Source organism: Homo sapiens, chromosome 3 (assembly GCF_000001405.40).
Source record: "Homo sapiens chromosome 3, GRCh38.p14 Primary Assembly".
Lineage (NCBI taxonomy): Eukaryota > Metazoa > Chordata > Mammalia > Primates > Hominidae > Homo > Homo sapiens.
The window spans coordinates 39,119,377-39,139,491 of record NC_000003.12 but is presented as its reverse complement, the minus strand read 5'-3'; the positions used below and the strand labels follow the sequence as shown (position 1 = coordinate 39,139,491).

At 50.3% G+C, this 20,115-nt stretch overlaps 1 protein-coding gene and 1 non-coding gene across 27 annotated transcripts in view, besides 3 other annotated features; both read right to left on the bottom strand.

The window, feature by feature from the left end:
* Positions 1-591: 591 nt before the first annotated feature.
* TTC21A (tetratricopeptide repeat domain 21A) overlaps positions 592-20,115 on the bottom strand; it is a 31,221-nt gene continuing 11,697 nt past the window's right edge. For 3 of the 26 annotated variants that reach the window (NM_001366899.1, NM_001366900.1, NM_001105513.3), the window contains 22 exons: positions 19,472-19,570; positions 18,303-18,495; positions 14,332-14,429; positions 13,960-14,160; positions 13,102-13,231; positions 11,004-11,161; positions 10,560-10,775; positions 10,182-10,420; positions 9,341-9,413; positions 9,134-9,244; positions 8,653-8,791; positions 8,397-8,500; positions 6,252-6,440; positions 5,164-5,274; positions 4,318-4,399; positions 2,985-3,135; positions 2,432-2,593; positions 2,105-2,297; positions 1,782-2,006; positions 1,105-1,225; positions 869-936; positions 592-781 (listed from right to left, as the gene is read on the bottom strand). In NM_001366899.1, the coding sequence (NP_001353828.1) occupies positions 704-781; positions 869-936; positions 1,105-1,225; positions 1,782-2,006; positions 2,105-2,297; positions 2,432-2,593; positions 2,985-3,135; positions 4,318-4,399; positions 5,164-5,274; positions 6,252-6,440; positions 8,397-8,500; positions 8,653-8,791; positions 9,134-9,244; positions 9,341-9,413; positions 10,182-10,420; positions 10,560-10,775; positions 11,004-11,161; positions 13,102-13,231; positions 13,960-14,160; positions 14,332-14,429; positions 18,303-18,495; positions 19,472-19,570 (3,141 nt within the window). In that variant the 3' untranslated portion in view covers positions 592-703. Of the gene's footprint in view, positions 937-1,104; positions 1,226-1,781; positions 2,007-2,104; positions 2,313-2,431; positions 2,594-2,984; positions 3,163-4,317; positions 4,400-5,163; positions 5,275-6,251; positions 6,441-7,845; positions 7,887-8,396; positions 8,501-8,652; positions 8,792-9,133; positions 9,245-9,340; positions 9,414-10,181; positions 10,421-10,559; positions 10,776-11,003; positions 11,162-13,101; positions 13,232-13,959; positions 14,161-14,331; positions 14,430-18,302; positions 18,496-19,471; positions 19,571-20,115 lie in introns of those variants that run through there. The other 23 variants (XM_005264921.6, XM_005264925.6, XM_005264927.5 and 20 more) reach the window with 21 other exon arrangements.
* Positions 1,226-1,286, bottom strand: MIR6822 (microRNA 6822). Its single transcript, NR_106880.1, has one exon. It is a non-coding gene; the product is annotated as a microRNA 6822 (primary transcript).
* Positions 2,345-3,250: an enhancer, noted in NCBI's record as "H3K4me1 hESC enhancer chr3:39177733-39178638 (GRCh37/hg19 assembly coordinates)". NCBI's record gives its function as "activates a minimal SCP1, AML or CMV promoter by ChIP-STARR-seq in primed H9 embryonic stem cells {active_cell/tissue: H9 hESC(primed)}" and the evidence as "EXISTENCE:reporter gene assay evidence [ECO:0000049][PMID:30033119]".
* Positions 13,974-14,149: a silencer, noted in NCBI's record as "fragment chr3:39166834-39167009 (GRCh37/hg19 assembly coordinates)". NCBI's record gives its function as "represses an EF-1alpha promoter that drives an FKBP-Casp9 reporter gene in an ReSE screen in phorbol 12-myristate 13-acetate-treated (for megakaryocytic differentiation) K562 erythroleukemia cells {active_cell/tissue: K562(+PMA)}" and the evidence as "EXISTENCE:reporter gene assay evidence [ECO:0000049][PMID:32094911]".
* Positions 16,482-16,541: a silencer, noted in NCBI's record as "silent region_14218". NCBI's record gives its function as "represses an Ori minimal core promoter by ATAC-STARR-seq in GM12878 lymphoblastoid cells {active_cell/tissue: GM12878}" and the evidence as "EXISTENCE:reporter gene assay evidence [ECO:0000049][PMID:35858748]".

The following is a 20,115-nucleotide window of genomic DNA, read 5'->3' as shown; positions in this document are numbered from 1 at the left end:
TTCTTGGCATGTATTTCCTTGTGCCAGGCGAGGGTAGTCAGGTTTGTCCCAAACTGGTAAGGACTAGAAGAAGCCAGCTGGACTTGGCGGGGAGTGGGGGTGCGGGGGGCAGGGGCAAGGGAAACAATGCATGGACAGGGTGGGACAATGGCTCTTGCACCCTGCAGGCCCTCTCACACAGGGCCTTAGCTGTGCGGGCCTTCTGCAGTTAATCCTCCTGTCTGGGCCCACTGCCCACAGCATCCTGGGCCCACCGCCAGGCAGACTCAGGGTAGCATGGCAGGGAGAAGTATCTGCTTCTTTAGCTCCAGGATCCTGGAGACCAGACAGGAGAGGGGCAACAACCATTGAAAAACAGCTGAAGGGGATTCTTTTCAACCACCATTCCACTAGGAGCCCCCTCTTTGCTCCCCTCCGCCCCCTCAAAGAGTCTGGGATAAAAGCGAGGTCTGTTAGAAAGCGCCCAATGAGCCCAGCAAAAGTTAAGCCAGTTGATGTCTTTCTTCCCAGAGCAAAATTTCTTGTGCCTTAAAAACATAAAGTTAGGTCAGATGAGACATGACTCAAAATAAACCACATACACTATAGAAATGGGGAAGAATGTGTCATTTTCTGAATCCCTTCTCCACTGACCCACTTTCCATCCCTCCACACAACTTCAGTAGGTTGATGGCTTCTACTGGTCCAGGCCCCTTGACCCCAGCTAGGGCCTCAGGGACCTTCGGGCCTTTTCCAAAATTTCCTCCCTGATCTTGGGGTAGTCGGGGTGCTCCCTGAGGACCTGGAACAGAGAGAGAATGGGTGTGCAGTATCATGCAGGTTTCCCCACCACTACACCAGGCCCTCCCCACCAAGGCTGCTGGCTTACATCGTTGCAGATTTCAATGGCCTCCACAAATTTCTTGTCCTTCAGGTAGTTGAAAGCAAGTTTGAAGCCTACCGGGGACATGGAGAGCAAAGATGGTGGCACCCTGGTGACCTGAGAACCCCTCTGGTTCTCATAACAGCCAGGGTACAGGCCTTGAGTTCTGGGGTCATGGTGGGGGCCCTCCTGCCCACCTCCCTCCCACGTCCATTCACGTGCACCCTGGCTGGTTGCCTTACCAATGGCAGGGTTGGCGTGATGACTGTACTTCCAGGCCAGTTTGTAGTTGGTGACTGCATCCTTGTAGGACTGCTCCTTCTCCATGATGAAGCCCATGTACTCATAGGCCTTGTAGCAGGACTGCAGGGAAAGCCAGTTAGAGCCTCTGCAGAGCGGAAGCCCCAACTGGTTCCCTGGGCCAGGGTGGGACTGGGACCAGAACCAGAAGCAGGCAAGGGACAGAAGTGAGCTGCCATAAACCAAACTGCCAAGGGACCCCAGGGGTACCCCAACCTTTGCAAGAAGCCAACTGTGTGCCCTCCTCTCAGCTACCCCAGACACTGGCGTAACCCCTTTCCCTGTAGCCCTCCTGTTCCGCCACTCCCATTCCTGGCCTGCTCTGACCTGCAAAAGTCCCTCCAGCTTGGAACCCATGAAGCTTTCCCATCTCTTTCTGTCCTTTAGTGTTCCCTCCTCTGGACATAACACGACCCCTGTGCACCTCCTCTCACCTGGTCCATCGCCCTTGATCCTCATTCCTATTCTGGTCTGTCGCCCATGTGCCCCTCTCAGCCTGCCTCTTCCCGACTAGTTCTTATTCCATATGGCCTCTACCTGCAAAGCCTGCTTCACCTTCCTGGAATGCCTAGAATCCTTTCCGCCATCCCGCAGCCCTAGTGTGTGTGTGGCTCCTTGCCTTGTTGTATTGCACACAGCGCCGCAGCAGTTCTAAGGCGAGGTCGAACTTGCTGCCCTGGCAGTAAATGTCAGCCAGCAGGAGCCAGCTCTTCTCCAGGTCCTCAGCCTCACTCAGCACCCAGGGGGTCTTGGCCAGGCGCTTCAACTGCATACGCGCCTTGGGGATCTGCTTCAGGAACACGTAGGCTTGTGCCAAGGCCAGCAGGGCAGGGACGCTGTCCTTCTACACACCAGGTAGGAAGTGGACGTCAGCACGTGTTGGCCGCCTGGTCTTCTCGGCCCTGCCACCTGCCCATGCCCGCCAGTCCCCACCAGCCACACCTCAGCCTGCGCTATCTGGATGAAGCTGCCCAGCGCAGCCTCCATGTTAGCCTTCTCCCTGGTGGCCAGCCGGCAGAGGCCCTGCAGCAGCCGCAGCTGGGTCTGGCTGGAGTCTGAATGTGGGTAAAACTCACGCAGCAGTTTCTCGGCGGTGCTCACACCCTGCTGCTCCAACTCCTTCTTCTCCATGTAGCTGCAGGTGTTAGACCTGGGTATCAGACACAGGCCGGTGGCCTGCCCGTGTGGCCCTCACCTGGCTTCAACCCAGAGGTTGCAGGCTTTCTGTAACTTCCCCAGGGTTCCGCCCCTGCCTCCATGGGCCCTTACTTGCTCTCAGCTCCCTGGTTCTCAAAAGCCTCTCCGCCCACAACCTCGTTGTCTGGATTCAGACAGATCTGCACCATGTGGTAGATGGCGCTCTGGCCCCAAGTGCTGTCCTTGCGTGCCTTGTTCAGGAACTTTAAGGCTTCGTTGGGCTGCCCTATGTGCCTGTGGTGGAGAAAACACCAAGAATCAGTGAGGGAAACTGAGGCCCAGACAGGGCAGGGATATACAAGGACCACTTTGTGAGTCTGCACAAAGCAGAGGCTGGATCTCTGGTTTCCCAGCTCCCCTGGAGGAGATGCGGGCGTCGGACCTGTGTGTTGGATGCAGGCTGGTGGCCTGCCCAAGTGGCCCTCACCTGGCCTCCATCCAGAGGCTGCAGGCTCTCCCTGACTTCCACAGGGTTCCACCCCTGCCCCCATGGGCCCTCACTTGCTGGGTCCGGGTGTCCTGGAGGCAGAATTTCTGCTCCTTTTGTGCAGAGCAAGGGCCTAGCCTATCTGCCAGTAGGGCTTCCTGCACACAGCTGCCCCTCAACACACCACACCCAACTCACCAGCAGTAGATACCTCTGCAGTAATTGAACCCTGGTTCCAAAGGCACCCGGCTAGACACCTTCTTGGCCAATTCAAAGAAGGCAGGAATGTCTTCAAGTTTTCCACTTCTTCTTAGCAGATCGATTAATTTATGCAATACCAAAAAATTGTCTAAAATAAGAGACAGAAATCTCCAGGCTGAAATGCCCAGTAGCTGTTATCAGATGAGGGTGCTGGGGCCCTAGGAGAAGCCAAGAGATACTGCCCATCTGGGCTGAGCAGGGACATTCCAACAGCTCCAGAGTCTCCACTGGTCTCCAGGGTTGAGTAAAGAATAATACTAATGCTTAAAAATAGTAAAGAATAGCAGCTAACACTTATATAGCACTTATATTGTACCTGGTATTAAGTGCTTTACCTATATATTAACTGCAAGATTAGGTAGGTACCTAATCTTTTTTTTTTTTTTTGAGACGGAGTCTCGCCCTGTCACCCAGGCTGGAGTGCAGTGGCGTGATCTCGGCTCACTGCAAGCTCTGCCTCCTGGGTTCATGCCATTTTCCTGCCTCAGCCCACCCCCGAGTAGCTGGGACTACAGGCACCCGCCACCACGCCCGGCCAATTTTTTTGTATTTTTAGTAGAGACAGGGTTTCACCGTGTAGCCAGGATGGTTTCGATCCCCTGACCTTGTGATCTGCCCGCCTCGGGTTCCCAAAGTGCTAGGATTACAGGTGTGAGCCACCATGCCCGGCCTAGGTAGGTACTCTTATTGTGTCTGTTTTACAGATGAGGACACTGAGACATGGAGAAATAATTTGCTGAAAGTTGCACAACCAGTAAGTGGTAGACCAGGACTCAGACCCAGGCAGCCTGGCCCCAGCACCCATACTCCTAACCGTGGTGACCTCCTGGGCCTATGGGCACACTGCCATGGGCCTGCCAGGGCTCCAACCTGAGCCTCAGGTCTGGCCCCTTTCCCCAGCAATAAGGGGTGGTTTTACGCTGCAGTGAATGGGAATGAAGCTATACAACGGGGGAGAATTTCTAGTCCCTACAAGTGGCTGTGACCTCAAAAGGGGACTGTGTCAAGCCCCATTGGCTGTGATTTGGGGACAGACATGCTGTCCTGGGTCCAGTGCCAAGTCCTTGAGACCAGGAACTGGCCCCTTGGACTCGGGAAGGGCCGGCACGTTCCACTGGGTCTTTATCAGTTTCCTGCTTCTCTGGAACAATCAGGGAGGAAGGGGCTTCCTCTGCCCAGTCAGGAAGGAGGGAGAGGTCCCACCCTTCTCTGGGAGAGCGGCCCTTGCTCAGTGGGAACTGGTACAGGCAGTCTCCATGGGCAGAATTACCTGGCGCTTTCTCCAAGACTTGGTGGTAAAGATTGATGGCCGCTTCATGTTTCTGTTTTCTAAACATCAGGTCAGCCATCAACTATCAGAAAACACACAAAGCTCCAGATTTCCCAACAGTGGCAGCTTGCATGGGTGTAGGGGGAGGCGGGGGGTATGGGGGTGATGGTGGTAAGAAGGGAAGGTAGAAAAGGACTTGCAAGGCAGCCTCCCTAGGCCTTGTGAGAAGCTGCCACAGGAGAAGCCTGAGGGTTTCTCAGGCCCCCACCCAGAAGGTGAGGACTTCCCAAGGTGAGGGGCAAGAAGAGTTGGGTTGAGGATGTACATGGGAAGGTAAGACTAGTGGTAGAGACCAGTGGGGCTTTTTGACAGCCTACAGGGGAAGCCTCTCCACCCATTCTGAGAACTGCCAGGCAATAGAGGTAGGGATGAGGACCCCTCCTTGCTCTGCAAGGGCTCAGCTTCTGCTCCTGGGCCAGCCCTAGAGGAGGTCTGGATGATAGGGAAGAGAGAGGCAGGACCGAGGAGGGCTTTTCCTGAAGCCCCAGGAACCTGTCCCGCCCTTGCCTTCACCTACAGTGAATGTGCTTTCCCCTGGGGTGAATCAACCTCACCCCACCTTAGACTGGCCCAGGAGATTGATGCTGCCCACTGCCAGCCAGCCTACCGCTTCCGGCTAAAGGGCAGAGTAGGTGCAGCACTGAGTCCTCTCTGCCCGACAGCTCCTCAGAGGTGTGTCAGTGAGGCATCTGAGGTTACGGGGCTAGGAAGTAGCCTGCATCTGGTCACAGGGACCCTGGGAAGGGAGGAAGGGAGGGGAGGGAGTGGGTGCTGGGGGCTTCCTACCACAGAAGCGGTCTCATGGTTCTGCTCAGTCTGCAGGAGGATGGCACAGTGCTGCTCACACAGGTCCAGGTGCCCCTGGAGCAGGTAGAGCTGCGCCAGCTCCAGCATCACCTGGGACAAGGCCGGATATAATAAACTAACTAGTAAACACCATGGGAAACCCCTGGGGTTATCCTTGACAGCTCTTTCCCTCACACCCCACTTCTATCAGCTCTGCCTTCAAAATATGTCTCGAATTCCCCACGTGAACGTCCTGGCCTTCCCCTTCTCCCATGCAGTTCTCCAGTCATACCCTGTGTCTTACTAACCTCTGAAAGTTGGGCCAAGCTAACACATTTTCATCCTTCAGCTTCACCTCTGGCCTCACTGCTCTGAGAGCCCTCTGTGCCCCAGACTCTGGGGCAGGTACCATTCCTCCAAGTGGTGCCCTGTATCCCCATGCAGGCATGTATTGCATGGCATTAGCGCTGCCTGTGCTCTCGTCTACATGCCCTTGCCCAAGGGTAATCTGTGGGCAGTGACCAAGCTTTGCCCCACTATGTCTCCAGAGCCGGGCAAAGTACTTGGCACATATTAGATGAGGTATCTGTTAAATGAGTTGAGTATTAAATGAATGAATGTATCGGTCACTAAGCTCTTCATCTACTGTGTTAGCGTGAACTCCAACTATGGTTCCCTTATCTGGAGCCACACCTCCCTCACAACTCTAGGCCCTCTTGGAAGCTCAGCCTGCACTTCATGCCCAAAGTGCCCTGACAGCTGCAACCCTCATCATCTCCCCACCTCCAACGGGGACTTGAAAATGTCAGACTAACGTGATTTTCAGCAATGTCTTCCCCACTACACCCTTCACATTTGGCTATCCATGGTGAGCCTTGCTCCAAGGGCTGCAGCAGGTGAGGCCCCAGGTCAGCAGGAGCAGACACCTTACCCCAGAGGCCACTGCTAGCTGGCCTCCCATGCCCATCATATCTGTGACTCCTCAGGGAAGAATGGAGAAGGGACTGGCCCCTGTACCTGGTCAGTGAGCTCAGCAAGTCATTGTGCCCTGAGGGAGAAAGCAGCCTCTTGCTTTGAGGGCCACTCACCTTATTGTCAGTTGGCAAGTAGGAGAAGACATCCTTATAAGACTGTACCGCCTTGTCATACTCTTTCTCTGCCAGGTAGTGCTCTGCAAATTGGATGCAGATAGAGGCTGCCAGTTGCTTCTGGGAGGGAATCATTTCTGGTTGCTCCAGTGGAACTCGCTTCAGTATCCGAGACTGGAGGTCCAAGGCCTCGAGAAACCAATCAAGCCAGGATCAGAAACTCAGAGCCTGACATACCAGTTCACAGAAAGTCCTAAGTTCTTAATTCAAAGCCAGAAGTATGAAAAATGACACATAAGTGCCCTTGGGCAAATTTGGGTCACTCTGAATAGGCAAAGCCACTGGCTGAGTACACATGAGGCAAGCTGGCACTGCCTCTGGGGGCAGGAGCAGAAGCAAAGGACTCAAACAAAACACGCTTTTGTACTTAGCCTGTTTACCTGCTTCCATCACACCTTGAGGTTCTGTGTCTAATTCGCTTCACTGCACTACAGGCTAGAACTAGCACACAGTAGGTGTCCAAGGCACACAGTAGACTGTTCTGTTCTGTATGCCTCCCTGCTGGGAATTTGAGGAAGCACCCACAAATATTCACCACACAAATGATCAGGTGAGTAAGCAGAGAACATCAGGGCAAGAGGAAATGATGATGCCAGGGTTAAGCTGTAGGACATGGGTAGGAATCAGCACTTGGCTCCCCGAGGGCCAAAAAGAGGAATGGGAATCCAGTGGTAAACAAGGGGATAAATCATCTCAAACAGTCAGAGAGTGGGCCCTCCCTCTAGAAGCACAGAGCATACTCCAGGAACAAGTTTGAGGCCACACCCCTGGGGGGAAAAACGTGAGGAAGATATGACAGGAATGGCCGGGGGCTCTCGGATCAGGGGCAGCCCAGTGTGCAAAGAGCATGGGTTGGGAAAGGCCAGACCTGGCTCAGATCTCAGCTCCACCACTTGCTGGTACAGTCACGTGCTGCATAACATTTCAGTCAATGACAGACCACATATACGATGCTGGTCCCTTAAGATTATAATACTGTATTTTTACTGTACATTTTCTATGTTTAGCTGTGTATAAATACACAAATACTTACCATGATGCTACAACTGTCTACAGTATTCAGTAGAGTAACATGCTGTGCAGGTTTATAGACTCAGAGCAATAGGCTACACTAGATAGCCTAGGTGTGAAGTCAGCTATATCATCTGGGTGTGTGGAAGTACATTCTATGATGTTCACACAACAAAATCATATCCCTGCTGATAAGCAACATATGACGTTGCTATGGTTTGAACATGCCCCCCAAATGTCATGAGCTTTCCTGGAAACTTAATCCCCAATGTGGCAGTATTGAAAGTTAGGGCCTTTGAGAGGTGATTGGATCATGAGGGATCTGCCCTCATAAATGGATTAAACTACACATGGATGAATGGATTAATGGGTTATCATGGGAGTGGAACTGGTGGCTTCATTAGAAGAGGATGAGAGACCGGAGCAAGCATGTTAGCATGCTCGGCACCCCCCGCCCACCATGTGATGCCCTGCACTGCACTCTTTAGAGAGTTCCCCTTCCCCTGAGCAGAAAGGATCTCACCAGATGTGGCTCCTCCACCTTGAACTTCTCAGCCTCTAGAACTGTAGAAAATGTATGAATTACCCAGTTTCAAGTATTCTGGTATACACCAACAGAATACAGACTAACACAACTGAACCCAACTTTGGGCACATTTCTCAACCTCCTAGAGACTTATCTGCTACATGGGAATGTCACAATGCTTATTACAAAGGGCTACTGTGATCATTCAATAAGAAAGCAAAAACCCTACAGAACCTAGCACAGAGCTTTCAATGCATGGGAGCTATTGTCATTACCATCCTTATTATCTCTACTATCACCCTTGAGGACAAAGGCACTCTCTTACTTCCTGCCTTTCCCAGCCCACCACAGCTCAGAGCACATTAGTGTACCATAACTGAATGAACCAGGACGGGAAAATAAGTGAAGGTGGATGTCAGAGGTGTAACCTAGGTCCTTTTTTAAGGAAGAGGTCTGGGGCTTTCCAGACCTGGAGCTCTCTCCTTCCTCCTCCTTCAGCCCCCATCAGCAGATGGCAGATAAAGAGCTTGAGTCCACCTGTCAATTACCTTGTTCAAAGTTTCTATCACAGCTTCTTTTTTATGGCTCTTGTAAACCTTTGCCAGCAAAAGCAGGCACTTAACATCATTCATCATGGATGGGATGTCTTGGACTGTTAAATGGAAACTCAAATTAGTGTTAGTTCACTGGCTCCTGGGAAGCTGTGTTGGTGGGGAGCGCTGGGATCAGGACTTCAGCTAATGGGGAATGGGGGAGGAGTATGTCTGCTCCAAATGCTAGAAATGGGTTACAATGCTGCCTCACCAATGTCATGTTCCAGTGCCTGCTTCAAAACTTTTTCTGCTTTATTGACCTTCTTTAACTTCAGGAGCAGTTTGCCCAGATCGCAGCACAGAAAGTCCTGTCCATTAATCTTCTGGGCAGCCTCATAATACTCAATTGCCTTAGTGCAAACAGTAAATATTAGCCTCTGGCCTGGTTCTGCCCTTCAGTGCCCGACACCATGTTCCCCTCAGCAGCCATCACACCAGTGTGCCCCTCCAGAACATAGCCTAAAGTGAAAAGGCACTCCTCCCAGCTGGCACAGGGTGTAACCCTCAGCTTAAGCAGGTGTGGTCAGCAGCAGAGAGTTGCTGAGTTCTCCCCTTGGCACCCCATTCAGCAAGGAGCTGAGTGAAAAGTCAGCCACTCTCCTCCCACCCAGAGCTCCCCAGTCATGTACCGTCCTCCTCCTTCCCTGCTGGGCTGGCCCTCCCTGCCCCTTCACACCCTAGCCCAGCCTGACCTCAGTATACTGGTGGGCCTTCACATAAGCGTGCCCAATTCTGCTGGCCAGGGAGGCGTCATGTGGGTTCTGTCTATAGGCCTCATCATAGACCTCCAGGGCCTTCTCGGGCTGGTGGGGAAAGTGTCTTTGGGTCTTCCTCTTCTCTCCCACTGGAGAAGGGAGACTGGGGGGCCACTTGGCAAGGCTGTGAGGCCTCTCACTTACCTCCAGAATGCTCATTAAGGCATCGCCCAGTAGCAGGCTGGTGTGGGGGCCAGGCAGATGTTCACAGAGCTCACTGCAAGCAAGAGTAACCAAAAGCTTATCCCAGGTTCGCACACACCTCATGTTCCTGAAATCATCTCCTTCACTTCCTTCCCACTGATTCTGGCTGACATTCATTCATTCATCAATCAATATTTATAGAAAGTCCACTGTGAATGAGGCACTGTGCTAGCTACCTGAGTCAGGCTCTCCACATCCATCTCTGTAGTTAGGCCATGGCCAGGCCCTCTACCTGTTCCTCTCACTCTACCTGCTATCCCTCCAGATCCCTCTCCATGAGGCAGCAATGTCACTCTTTCTAAAACTCCAATCTGGCCGTGCCTCCATACTGTTCACTGGTTTCCCACTGCTGGATAGCCTTCCCTACTCCCTCAGCATCCCCACCTCCCACTTTAAATTGCTTAGATGCAGCTCTGCCAGAAGAAAGGGATGAGGAAGGCACCTTGGAGGTCCCAATGCAAAATCATACAGAGACAGCAGCTTGGAGCTTCAGTGTGTCTGCTCTGAGAACCAGGCCTACAGTCTCCCACTAGCATGTGCAAGCAGGTGAGGGGGAGGCAAGCAGGGCTCAGGGCCAATTCGATTCTGTATCCTCATCCATGAACAGGGCTTACTGACCTTTCATGCTCAAATTGTAACCCATGGACAATTCCATACATTCATCAACTACACTCCAAGGACACATTCTGGAGACCCAGGTTGAAGAAATACCATCTGAAGGAAACACTCCCTAAGATACCATTGGAGAAGAAGCTGTCATTGTGCTGCCTGTGGGGCTTACCGGTAGCATCTGATGTAGAGGCGCCTGTCTCTGAGGGTCTGCAGGTAGATGTTGGCCATCTTCTCTCTGGCTTCCATATAGCAGGACTGCTTGGGCAAGATGTTCCTTAGCATGTTCAGCGCCACGTCCACATTGCCCTTGCTCAGGACCAAGTCCACGTTGGCAATGGTGATGCGGTTCTCTTCTGGTGTGCCACCGAACTCATTGATGGTGTCCTGCATGACCTTGGTGGCCTCATGCTAAAACATGGGAATCAAACAGACCCTTCACTTGATGCACAAGTAAACAGTGGGTGGAATCAAAGAACCTGGTTCCTGGGCCTACCCTGAGCCTCCAGTGTGCCCCAGTCCCCAGGGAAGAGAGCACGGCATTTCTTACTAGCTCCCCATTCAGCCGGAGGGCCTCCACCAGTTCCAATAAGATGGATGCCCGCTGGCTAGGCTGCACAGAGGGCCTGAGGAACTTTCTGCCTTCTTCCTTCTTCAGAGCTGGCAATTTGATGACCATTTTCAGCGTCTTTATGGCCTCTGGATAGTCTCCAGCCTTGTTGAGGGCCCTGGCCTTGATGAGGTGGTAGAGGGGGTGATCTCGGACCTAGGAGGAGCACAGCAGAGTGTGGGGCTCCAGTTCACTGCTGCTACTGCTGCTGCTCACAGCAGCCAGGTCAGAGAAAGCCTCAGGAGCCCACTGAGCCTACCCCTGCCTTTGGACGAGCAGAAAGATCTACGGGACACAGCTAGCCCCTGGGGCTACTCTCAGAAGGCAAACAGGGGCCACAGCTAGCTGGGCTTTGGGATGCTGAGAGGATGAGAGGGCACCCACCTGGAAGTTGTGGCTGACACCCAGCTCTAAGCAGTGGAAGCACATGCCAAAGTTGCCCTGAGCCAAGTAGATCTGACACATGAGGAGATGGGCATCCACGGAGGCGGGGTCCAGCTCCAGGCAACGCTGCAGGATGCTCTGGGCATTCTCTAGCTCTCCTAGAAATAATACACAAACCTCTACATGCAGGGTTCCCAAGGGCTCCTAAGACCTGATATGCAAGGGCAGAATGAATTTTACATGTCCTGTTCCCCAGAAATATACAAAATTGAGTATTTTAGCCAGTTTTGTTCTGCTTCACTCAGGGGTCCATTTCTAAAATTAAGACTACACAGTTGTTTCCTTGACTCAGACAAACGACAGGAAACTCAAACCTCAGTGCAACACCCTTCTTGTCTCTGTAACCCTCAGGGAGATAGCTAAGTCACTTCACAGCTCCATCCAGAAGCTCAGGGGAACACATTAAGTCTCAATTCCCACACCTAAGAGCAAACAAAACCTAGTAGTAACAGCAACTATAATAGTTACAATTTAAGAAGCTCCTGCTCTATGTTCAATACTTGCAAAACACTTTAGAAAGTCTGATTTATTACTTGCCCAGCCCTGCAAGGTTGGTGCTATTGTTCTTGTCTTTTCAGATGTGGTACCTGGGGCTCCAGTGATATAAGCCACTCGGCTTGGAAGGGGCGAAGTTGGCATTTACGTCCAGGCCTATTGGGTTCCTGAGCTTCAGCTCTGAACCCCCTGGGGCTTGAGGGCTGCGGGGCCTCCCTGCAGACAGGCTGGCACTTTCAGGGTGGTAGCAGCAGCCTAGGGGTTGGGTGTGATGAGTTGGTAGGGGCACTCTCTTCCCTCGCAGTCAGGTCTCTCAACAACTCCTACTTGGGATCCATAACCTGGTGGGTAGGGAGCACCTGTTTCTGGGTCCCAAGCTCCCTGCTCCTTCTTATGTGCTGTGGAAATGTGAAGAGGTCACCATGGCAACCTACACAGCTGGAGACTGCTTTGGGCCCAAATCTGCTGGCAGATGCCGGCACCCAGGGGAAGTTCTCTCACCCTGGCCTTGTATCCAGGATACCTTGAAGCTGTGGGGAAACCTGGCACCCAAATGAACATAGGGAGGACTAAGGATGAAGACAGGAAAGCTCTCAGCAGGAGTGCAACCCACACGATGCAATGCCAGAAGACAGACAAATGGCCACAGTATTCTGATCCCTTTGGACACCCCCAGAACACCACAGATCAGCCTGGTTTCCAGGCAGGCAGGATTGGGTGAGAGGCCACAGGGAGACAGTACTTCAGGGGAGGACTCTGCATCAGATAGGACAATAGAGCACCCATGGAAGAGTTTCCCTCTCCTTCCCTTTCTCTCCAGGGTCTGGGCCTTGAGAAGGGAGAAGGTGAAAGGGCCCCTGGAGGCTCTGAAGGCCTCATGGTACAGGGTTCTCACTTCTCCACAAGTTCTTTCTGGATACCTTTTCAAAACCGCAACCCTGCCACCCCTGCATCACTTCCCTGTTTCAGCTTCTTCCATAGCATTACCATGTTCTAGCAAAAAAATACGATGTGCTCCCTCGTGGAGCTTGTATTCAGTTGTCAATTTCCCCTTACTAGATGCAAGCTCCATGAGGGAATTTTTGCCTATTTTTGGTACTACTGTATCTCAGAAGAAGTTCAATAACTATTACCAGCACAGATCAAATGAGTAAATCCACAAAGGCCTAGGTGGGAGAGACCCCTGCTGGTGAGAGGTCAGGAAGCTTACTAGGGAATGGAGGCTGGGAGTGGGCAGGCCTGTAGGATCATGTGCCTGTGTGTGTGTGCACGTGTGTGCATACGTGTGTGTGTGTGTGTGTGTGTGTAGTACACCAGGCAAGGAGCATGCATGTGTGTGTGTGTGTGTGTAGTACCCCAGGCAAGGAGCATGCATGTGTGTGTGTGTGTGCGTAGTACCCCAGGCAAGGAGAGTGTGTGTGTGTGTGTGTGTGTGTGTGTGTGTGTGTGTGTGTGTGTAGTATCCTAGGCAAGGAGCCTGCAGACACAAAGCTACATCAGGTGTTTGCAAGGCCCCACCCGGCTGTCAGGATCCCCCGCTCACCTGAGTAATACCTGACCTGAGCCATCAAATACAGGGGGTCGATCAGAGCTGGTGCTGCTTTGACTACAGGATTCAAGATCACGGCGACTTGTTTAAGAAGTGGAGACACGATCTGGCCTGGTAACCTGGGCTGTGGGAACACGGCGGTGGAGGTGGGAGTAGGTTTGCCCTATTCTAAGAGAGACTCCTGGAGCTCTCAGAAAATGCTCTCAGTGAAGGAATTTTGCTTCATTCCACACTTATTTATTATCCTCTGTATCACCTAGTGCTTAGAGCACGAGCTCCAGGCTATGGAACTTTGTTTTGTTCACTGTTGTGTCCCCAGTACCGAGAATGGTATCTGGCATGTAGTAATGCACTCAATAAATATTTGCTGAATGACTCATTACAAGGCACTGGGGGGATATTAAGGTGTATAAAAATATGATCCTTGGTCACAAAGAATCCTGACTGGCTGGAAGAGCAGGACAAACAAGTAAAGACTAACATACTTCTTAGGGGGCTTCTGCGGAAAAGGAAGCCAAATTCTCATCTCGGATAAAGGCAGGGCCATGGGCCGGTGCCCTGTTCTTCCAAGTGTGGTCCCTAGACAAGCAGCATCCATATCACTTGGGAGCCTGTTAGAGATGCAGGGTTTTAGACCCCCCTGTAGAGTCAGAATCTGTACTGGAACAACCTCCCAGGTGACCTGTGTGCTGTATGTTCAAGTTTGAAGAGCACTGGGCTCCCCAGCTGCCCAAGGCTCACCCCATCCTTACTTGTGACTGGCCAAGTAAGGTCCTTGCCTCTGTCCTTCAGGTGGGCACCATCCAAACCTGTACTCCAGACCCCCACCATGAAGACAGGCCTTCCCCTAACCTGCTTGGGGCAGAAGAGCAAGTACTCCTTAGCAATGCAGACCAGGAAGTACGGGTCCAGCTTTTCAAAGTACTCAGAGCCAAGAGGGATGCCTTGCATGCTGGAGAAGTGAAGCTCCACTGCCTCCTTCAGGAGCGCTGTGGTCTCTTCCTCCCCCTTGTGCTTCCTGGACATCAGGAGGGCTTGGAGGAAAATTAGCACCTGTGGAAGAGAGGACCGAGTCTCAGTGCCAATGTCAGCCTGGGCAGATTTGGTAGGCAAGGGCAAAGTGAAGGTCCAGACCACCTTGCATGCTTTCTATTGGAAAGTGGGGGTGGGAGGACAGCAGAGGACATCATCCTGGAGCAACCCATACCCCCAGGGAGCTCTGACCTCAGACTTCCCAAGGGACTTCTGCACCTCCTTCAGGAATTCCAGCCGGTACTCAGCTTCCTCCAGGTGGCCTTCTAAGATATGACACAAGATGATCCCTGTAAATGGGACAAAACAATGATGAGCAGCTAACACTGAAGCATAGCCAGCAGCCCATCAGGTCAAGGGGCATGGATAAGACAGTGGAAGGAAGATGTCTCAGTGTAGGGGATCTTTTCCAACATTTCTACAAACTTAAAGAGAAATACATGCTCATGCTCAAGAATTCAAACCCTAAGGCAATACAGAAAAACATCCCTAGCTCATGTTCTGGCTGTAACAATGTCTCTCTCTAGAGATAACCACTAGGAACAATTTGAGGTATAATACGTTACTACTATATAGACACCTCAGACATATATATGTACACATGAGCATACCAATGGGTTTAAAAACACACACATACACAAAGGGAATCAAATTTCACATACACCATTCTACAATCTGCTTTTTTTTTTTTTTTGAGACGGAGTTTCGCTCTTTTGCCCAGGCTGGAGTGAAGTGGCACGATCTTGGCTCACTGCAACCTCCGCCCCTCAGGTTCAAGCAATTCTCCTGCCTCAGCCTCCTGAGTAGCTGGGATTACAGGCATGGCCACCACGCCCGGCTAATTTTTGTATTTTTAGTAGAAACGGGGTTTTGCCATGTTGGCCAGGCTGGTCTCTAACTCCTGACCTCAGGTGATCCACTCACCTTAGCCTCCCAAAGTGCTAGGATTACAGGCATGAGCCACTGCGCCTGGCCACAATCTGCTTTTTAAAATTTGTATATGATAGTCATATTTTCCCATCTCTTCATACAAATCTACCCCATTTTCTTTGATGACAACACAATGTTTTACTGTGGATGTAACAATTTATTGCCCTACTAATTATTTAACTATTGCCCTACTGAAGGACATCTAATTTCACATTTACTTTATTTTTGGTATTTAAATACTACAATGCTATGATGAACATTTACATAAGTTCAAATTCCTGAGGGAGAGCTGATGGGTCATAGAGCACATATATTTAAAATACTGATAGATAAGGTCAACTTGCCCTCAAAGATACTTGAACTTATATTACTATCAAGAATTTAAAATATCCTTTCTTCATAACCTCAAACGTGCTGTAATTTTTGCCAGTCTGAAACATGAAAAGTAACTAGTTTTCATTTAACACCTTTTTTAACTATTAGGGAGAATGAACACCTGTTCATATTTCCAATATAGCCTTTTCCTTTCTACTGTGAATATTCTGTTCACAGCCTGCCTGGTTTTTTTGGGGGGGGTGATTTTTTTTCTCTTTATGTTTTATTAACCCTTTGTTGCAAGTGTTTTCTATTAGTTTGCCATTTATCCTTTAACTATTTTTACAGTACCTTGTCATGTAGTAATTTTAAGCTTTTATGTAGTCAAATAGGTAAAATATTCTCCTTTGCAGCTTCTATTTTTTTTTTCCATGTAGAGCCACAAAGCCAAACTTTGCAGCTTCCAAGTTTGGAGTTAGGCTTAGAATCCCCAGGGAAACCCATGTTTCATTTAATTTTTATGTTTAATACTTAATTCATCTGAAATTTAAGTATGGTGTAAGATGAGAACTTACCTTTTTTTCTTTTTCATAATGGATAGCAGGGTATCCAACTAGGAGTTGGTGAACAACCTATTAGTTTGAAATAAGGCCTGTTACATCCCATTTATCTATTTGCTTATCCCAGTCAGTGCTGGCCTCAAAGGGACTTAATTACTGTAGTTTTGTGATATGTTTTGATGTTGGGAGGACAAATCTCATCTGTTTGAAGCAAGCTATTCTACTTGCACAGGTATTTCTTTGCTACTTTGGTATATTTATTCTTGACTGTCTTCCTCATCACCATCTTAGTTTTCAGTTATATCCATCCCACTATTAGGCCCATTTATGAAATTTTTTACCTTACAATAATATTTTTTATTTTTGGCAACTCTTTTTTGTTCCTGTACCTTTTTCACAGTAGCATGTTCTTTACTTATTGACATAATAGCCTCTCCAAACACTGAAGGTGTTTTGGGAGGAAAAGTCTTTTCTGTACTAGCCTTAACTCTGCTCCTCAGAGGGCTACTGCTTTGCATGTTCCACTCGGCCAACCTTTCAGACTGCTAGCAGATTTATAAAGGAAGGGCAGCAACTAGGCACATTTTACACACTGTTAAGGTCACTGATTTTGTCAGACTGGGCAGAAAATATGGTGACTCCAGGACATACAGGTGGGCTCAGCTTGGACTGGGAGAGTGGGACAGACATCCTGACCAGTGGACTTTCCTCTGGCTAACCACTGGGACTCTGCCCCTTGAAGGAGGAAGTAGGGAAGGACTCAACCTGGTGGAAGAACATTCTAGGGAATTTTGCTTTTGTGCTGAGCAGCCAAGTCCTTTTGTCCTTCATGTCCCTGGTTATGGTGGGAAATCATCCAGAGCAGTGCTCCTCTCCCTCCTGCCCCAACACCCAATACACACCTCCTGGATTCTAGCCTCTGGCCAAGGCATGATTCCAGTAATCCTCCTATTATCGCTCTCACTGCCCCGTGGCATGCTTTCACACTCAGCCTCTGGTGACCCTGAGCTCGTCTTTTTTAGTTTTTGTTTTTCCTGGAACTCTTTGGGGAAAGCTGGTCTACTAAATTCTTTAGCTAACCCATCTCTGCCTATGTTTGCTTATGGGTTTCTAGATCTGCTTCGAATTCCCATGTATTTGACACCATTTGCCTTCCATCTTCTAGAAATGTGAAATTCTTCAAAGTTTCTGGTCCACGCTGCTATGTACTCTTTTTTTTTTTTTTCTTTCTTTTTTTGAGGTGGAGTCTCACTCTGTGGCCCAGGCTGCAGTGCAGTGGTGTCATCTCGGCTCATATCAACCTCCATCTCCCGGGTTCAAGTGATTCTCCGGCCTCAGCGTCCCAAATAGCTGGGATTACAGGTGTCCTCCACCACACCTGGCTAATTTTTGTGTGTTTTTAGTAGAGATGGGGTTTCATCATGTTGGCCAGGCTGGTCTCGAATTCCTGACCTCAAATGACCTGCCCACCTCAGCCTCCCAAAGTATTGGGATTACAGGCGTGAGCCATCACGCCTGGCTCATTACCTTTTAAAGATATCTTTCATTATTTTCATGGGATTTGGGGACAGAGGGAAAGCATGGATTTGAGGGGGTCAGCCTGACATGTTGAACCAGAAGTCAAGATAAACTACTCTGATAAATGTGCTATGCAGATGAGGAGCCTGGAGTTTAGAAAGGAGAAGTGACTTGGCCCCAAACACATAGCCCCTCAGAGCCAGGGCAAGAGTCGGCCTGCCTTGAGCACTGGACCACACAACTTCCTCAACCCAAACCAAATACTGCCACTTCAGAGTTCACCACAGACCATGGAATAGGGGGCTTTAAAAAATGCGTAAAATGGAAATGGCACTGTAGAAAGTTCATTTGGCATTTATAGAAAAGATTTTTAAAGTCACCTGGACAGACAGGGAAATATATAATTCTCAGAGCTACTCTTTTTGGTGGTTTTTCAGCTCAGAGCCCTGAAGGAGGGTCTACAGAGGTGAATCTAGAGGCTCTGCATGTGGGGACTGGTGGTGAGTAGAACTGCCTCCAACCCCGGCCTGGGCAGCCTGAGAAGAGGCAGGGCCCACTGAGTATAAGGTTCAGCCTGTCAGTCTTCTGGGGCAGTCAGTGTAGACAGACATTGGAGGTCTGGTGGAGATCAGAGTGACTCTGATCATACCTCTGAGCATTGCTGTGCCTCTTACATCTATACTTGTGGATTCCCAGAAAGATACCCCATCATACATTGTACCCCAAAATTCACATACCCTTCAAGGAGAATGCTTTCCAGCACCTCTCTTCTGGACCCATGGAAGCTGCCCGGTTTGGCTCCCGACACCCATCCCTGAGCCCTGCCACACCTGCATATACCTGTCAAACCAGCCATGCCATCCTTGTCCAGTTTCATGGCTTCTGAATACCACAGCAAGGCCTCTTTCACTTGGTTCTTCAGGATGAAGAGATAGCCCAGTTCTGTGGCCACATGGACATACGAGGGGGTGGCCATGAAGGTGCGCTCGATGAAACTACACACTAGCCCTAGAATCACCTGGTGACTCCCACACTGCAAGAAACAGGAAGGTGGGAATTGGGAAACCAGTCAGTCCAGCCTGTATGAGCAAGGTCATGTCAGAAACGGGGGACACTTTGGTAGGCAGGGCTGGTAGGCCCAGGAGAGCCAAGAGGTACCGTGTGTCTAGGCAGCTGGGTCTGTGTTGCTGTCTGGCTCCCAAGGAACCTCTCACTGGCCACAACTGTGGAACCTGCCTCTAGCCACAGGGTCCTCTGAGGGACCTATCCCCTGTCTGGTCACAGTAATTGGTCTAAGGAGTCACCAAGAGGTTTTTCAAAAATTGAAGCTGAATGTGTCCAGTAATAAGAAGTGGCCCCAAAGGCTGCCATCAGCCATGTTCCCTGCCATGTGTGGAGAACAAGGCAGAGAGAATCAGACATACAGAGGGAGAGATGGTGCCTATGCAACTCCACAGTTCTGGTTCCTGGGGTCCCAGAGTTGCCTTCATTCTTACAGCAACTACTTCTAGTAAATCTTGCTTTGGGGCTGAAGGGTCTGAAAGAGATACAGATTTGTTGGCAACCTGGTCTAGTTGAACCTTCCCTGATGTTTGAGAGGCCTAGGCAGGCCAGCCTTCTCAGGTCACCTCCACAAAAAAGAATATGGGAGATGGGCACCCAGGCACTAGAGGCTAGAGCTGGGTGTGGCTCTGCTGCATAACAGCTGCAATACCACCCGCTTTCCCCAAATAAGGCACAGCCCACTCCAAAAGCACTTTCAGACCCCGTCTCCCTGATCTTCATGGCATCTCTGAGGGGGCACCTAGGCTAAGGATGTAGAACCCACATGTCACAGTTATCAGCCAGAGGCAAGTAGGCACAGCAGGATATGAGCCACTACCCTAAAGGACAAGTTTGAGCCAGAAGGGAGGGGTAAGGCACTCAAGGAGCTTCCTGGGGGAGCACAGTTCTCCTCTAAGGAAAGCAGGGAGAAGCACCATTTCAGAACCAGGAAAGAACCTTCTTACCAGTCGGCTAACCACAATAATTTTTTTAAGATGGAGGCTTGGATTTTCGGGTTCCCTTGTCTCTAGTGCCTTAATCAGATTTCTAACGTGATTGGTAGCCTGCAGGGACAAAACAGAGAATGTCAACATGCAAGGTGCAAGGTCAGAGTTGCGCCGTGGTTCTCAACCCTGACTGCATAGTAGCATCAGCTGGGAGATTTAAAAAATGCCCATGCCCAGGCACAACCCCCCAGAAATTCAGATTTAAGTGAATTGGAGTGGTCCAGGCATCAGAATTACTTCAAAGGCCTATAAGTGGAACTCCTGGGGACATTATTCACCCAGAGCTGGCACTGCCCCTCTGTTCTTGAATTTGTTTTTTTTTTTTCTTTTTTTTCTTTTTTTTTTTTGACTGCTCCTTATGGAGCAGGGCTAACCCATAGAGTAGCCCTGTTCCTGAGTTTGTGAAGAGAAGTTGCCTTTTCAGACCCACCCAGGCAGAGCCAGGAGCTAGCCCTCACTGTGTCCACAGTGCAGCCTGCCAGGCCAGCAGCAAACTAACTAGTGCTGGCCCAGAAGCCTCTGCTCCATTTTGACATGAATCAAATGTAAGTCAGTATAACTATTCGAACTTTCCAAACCTTCCTGTCCAACACATGAAAGGT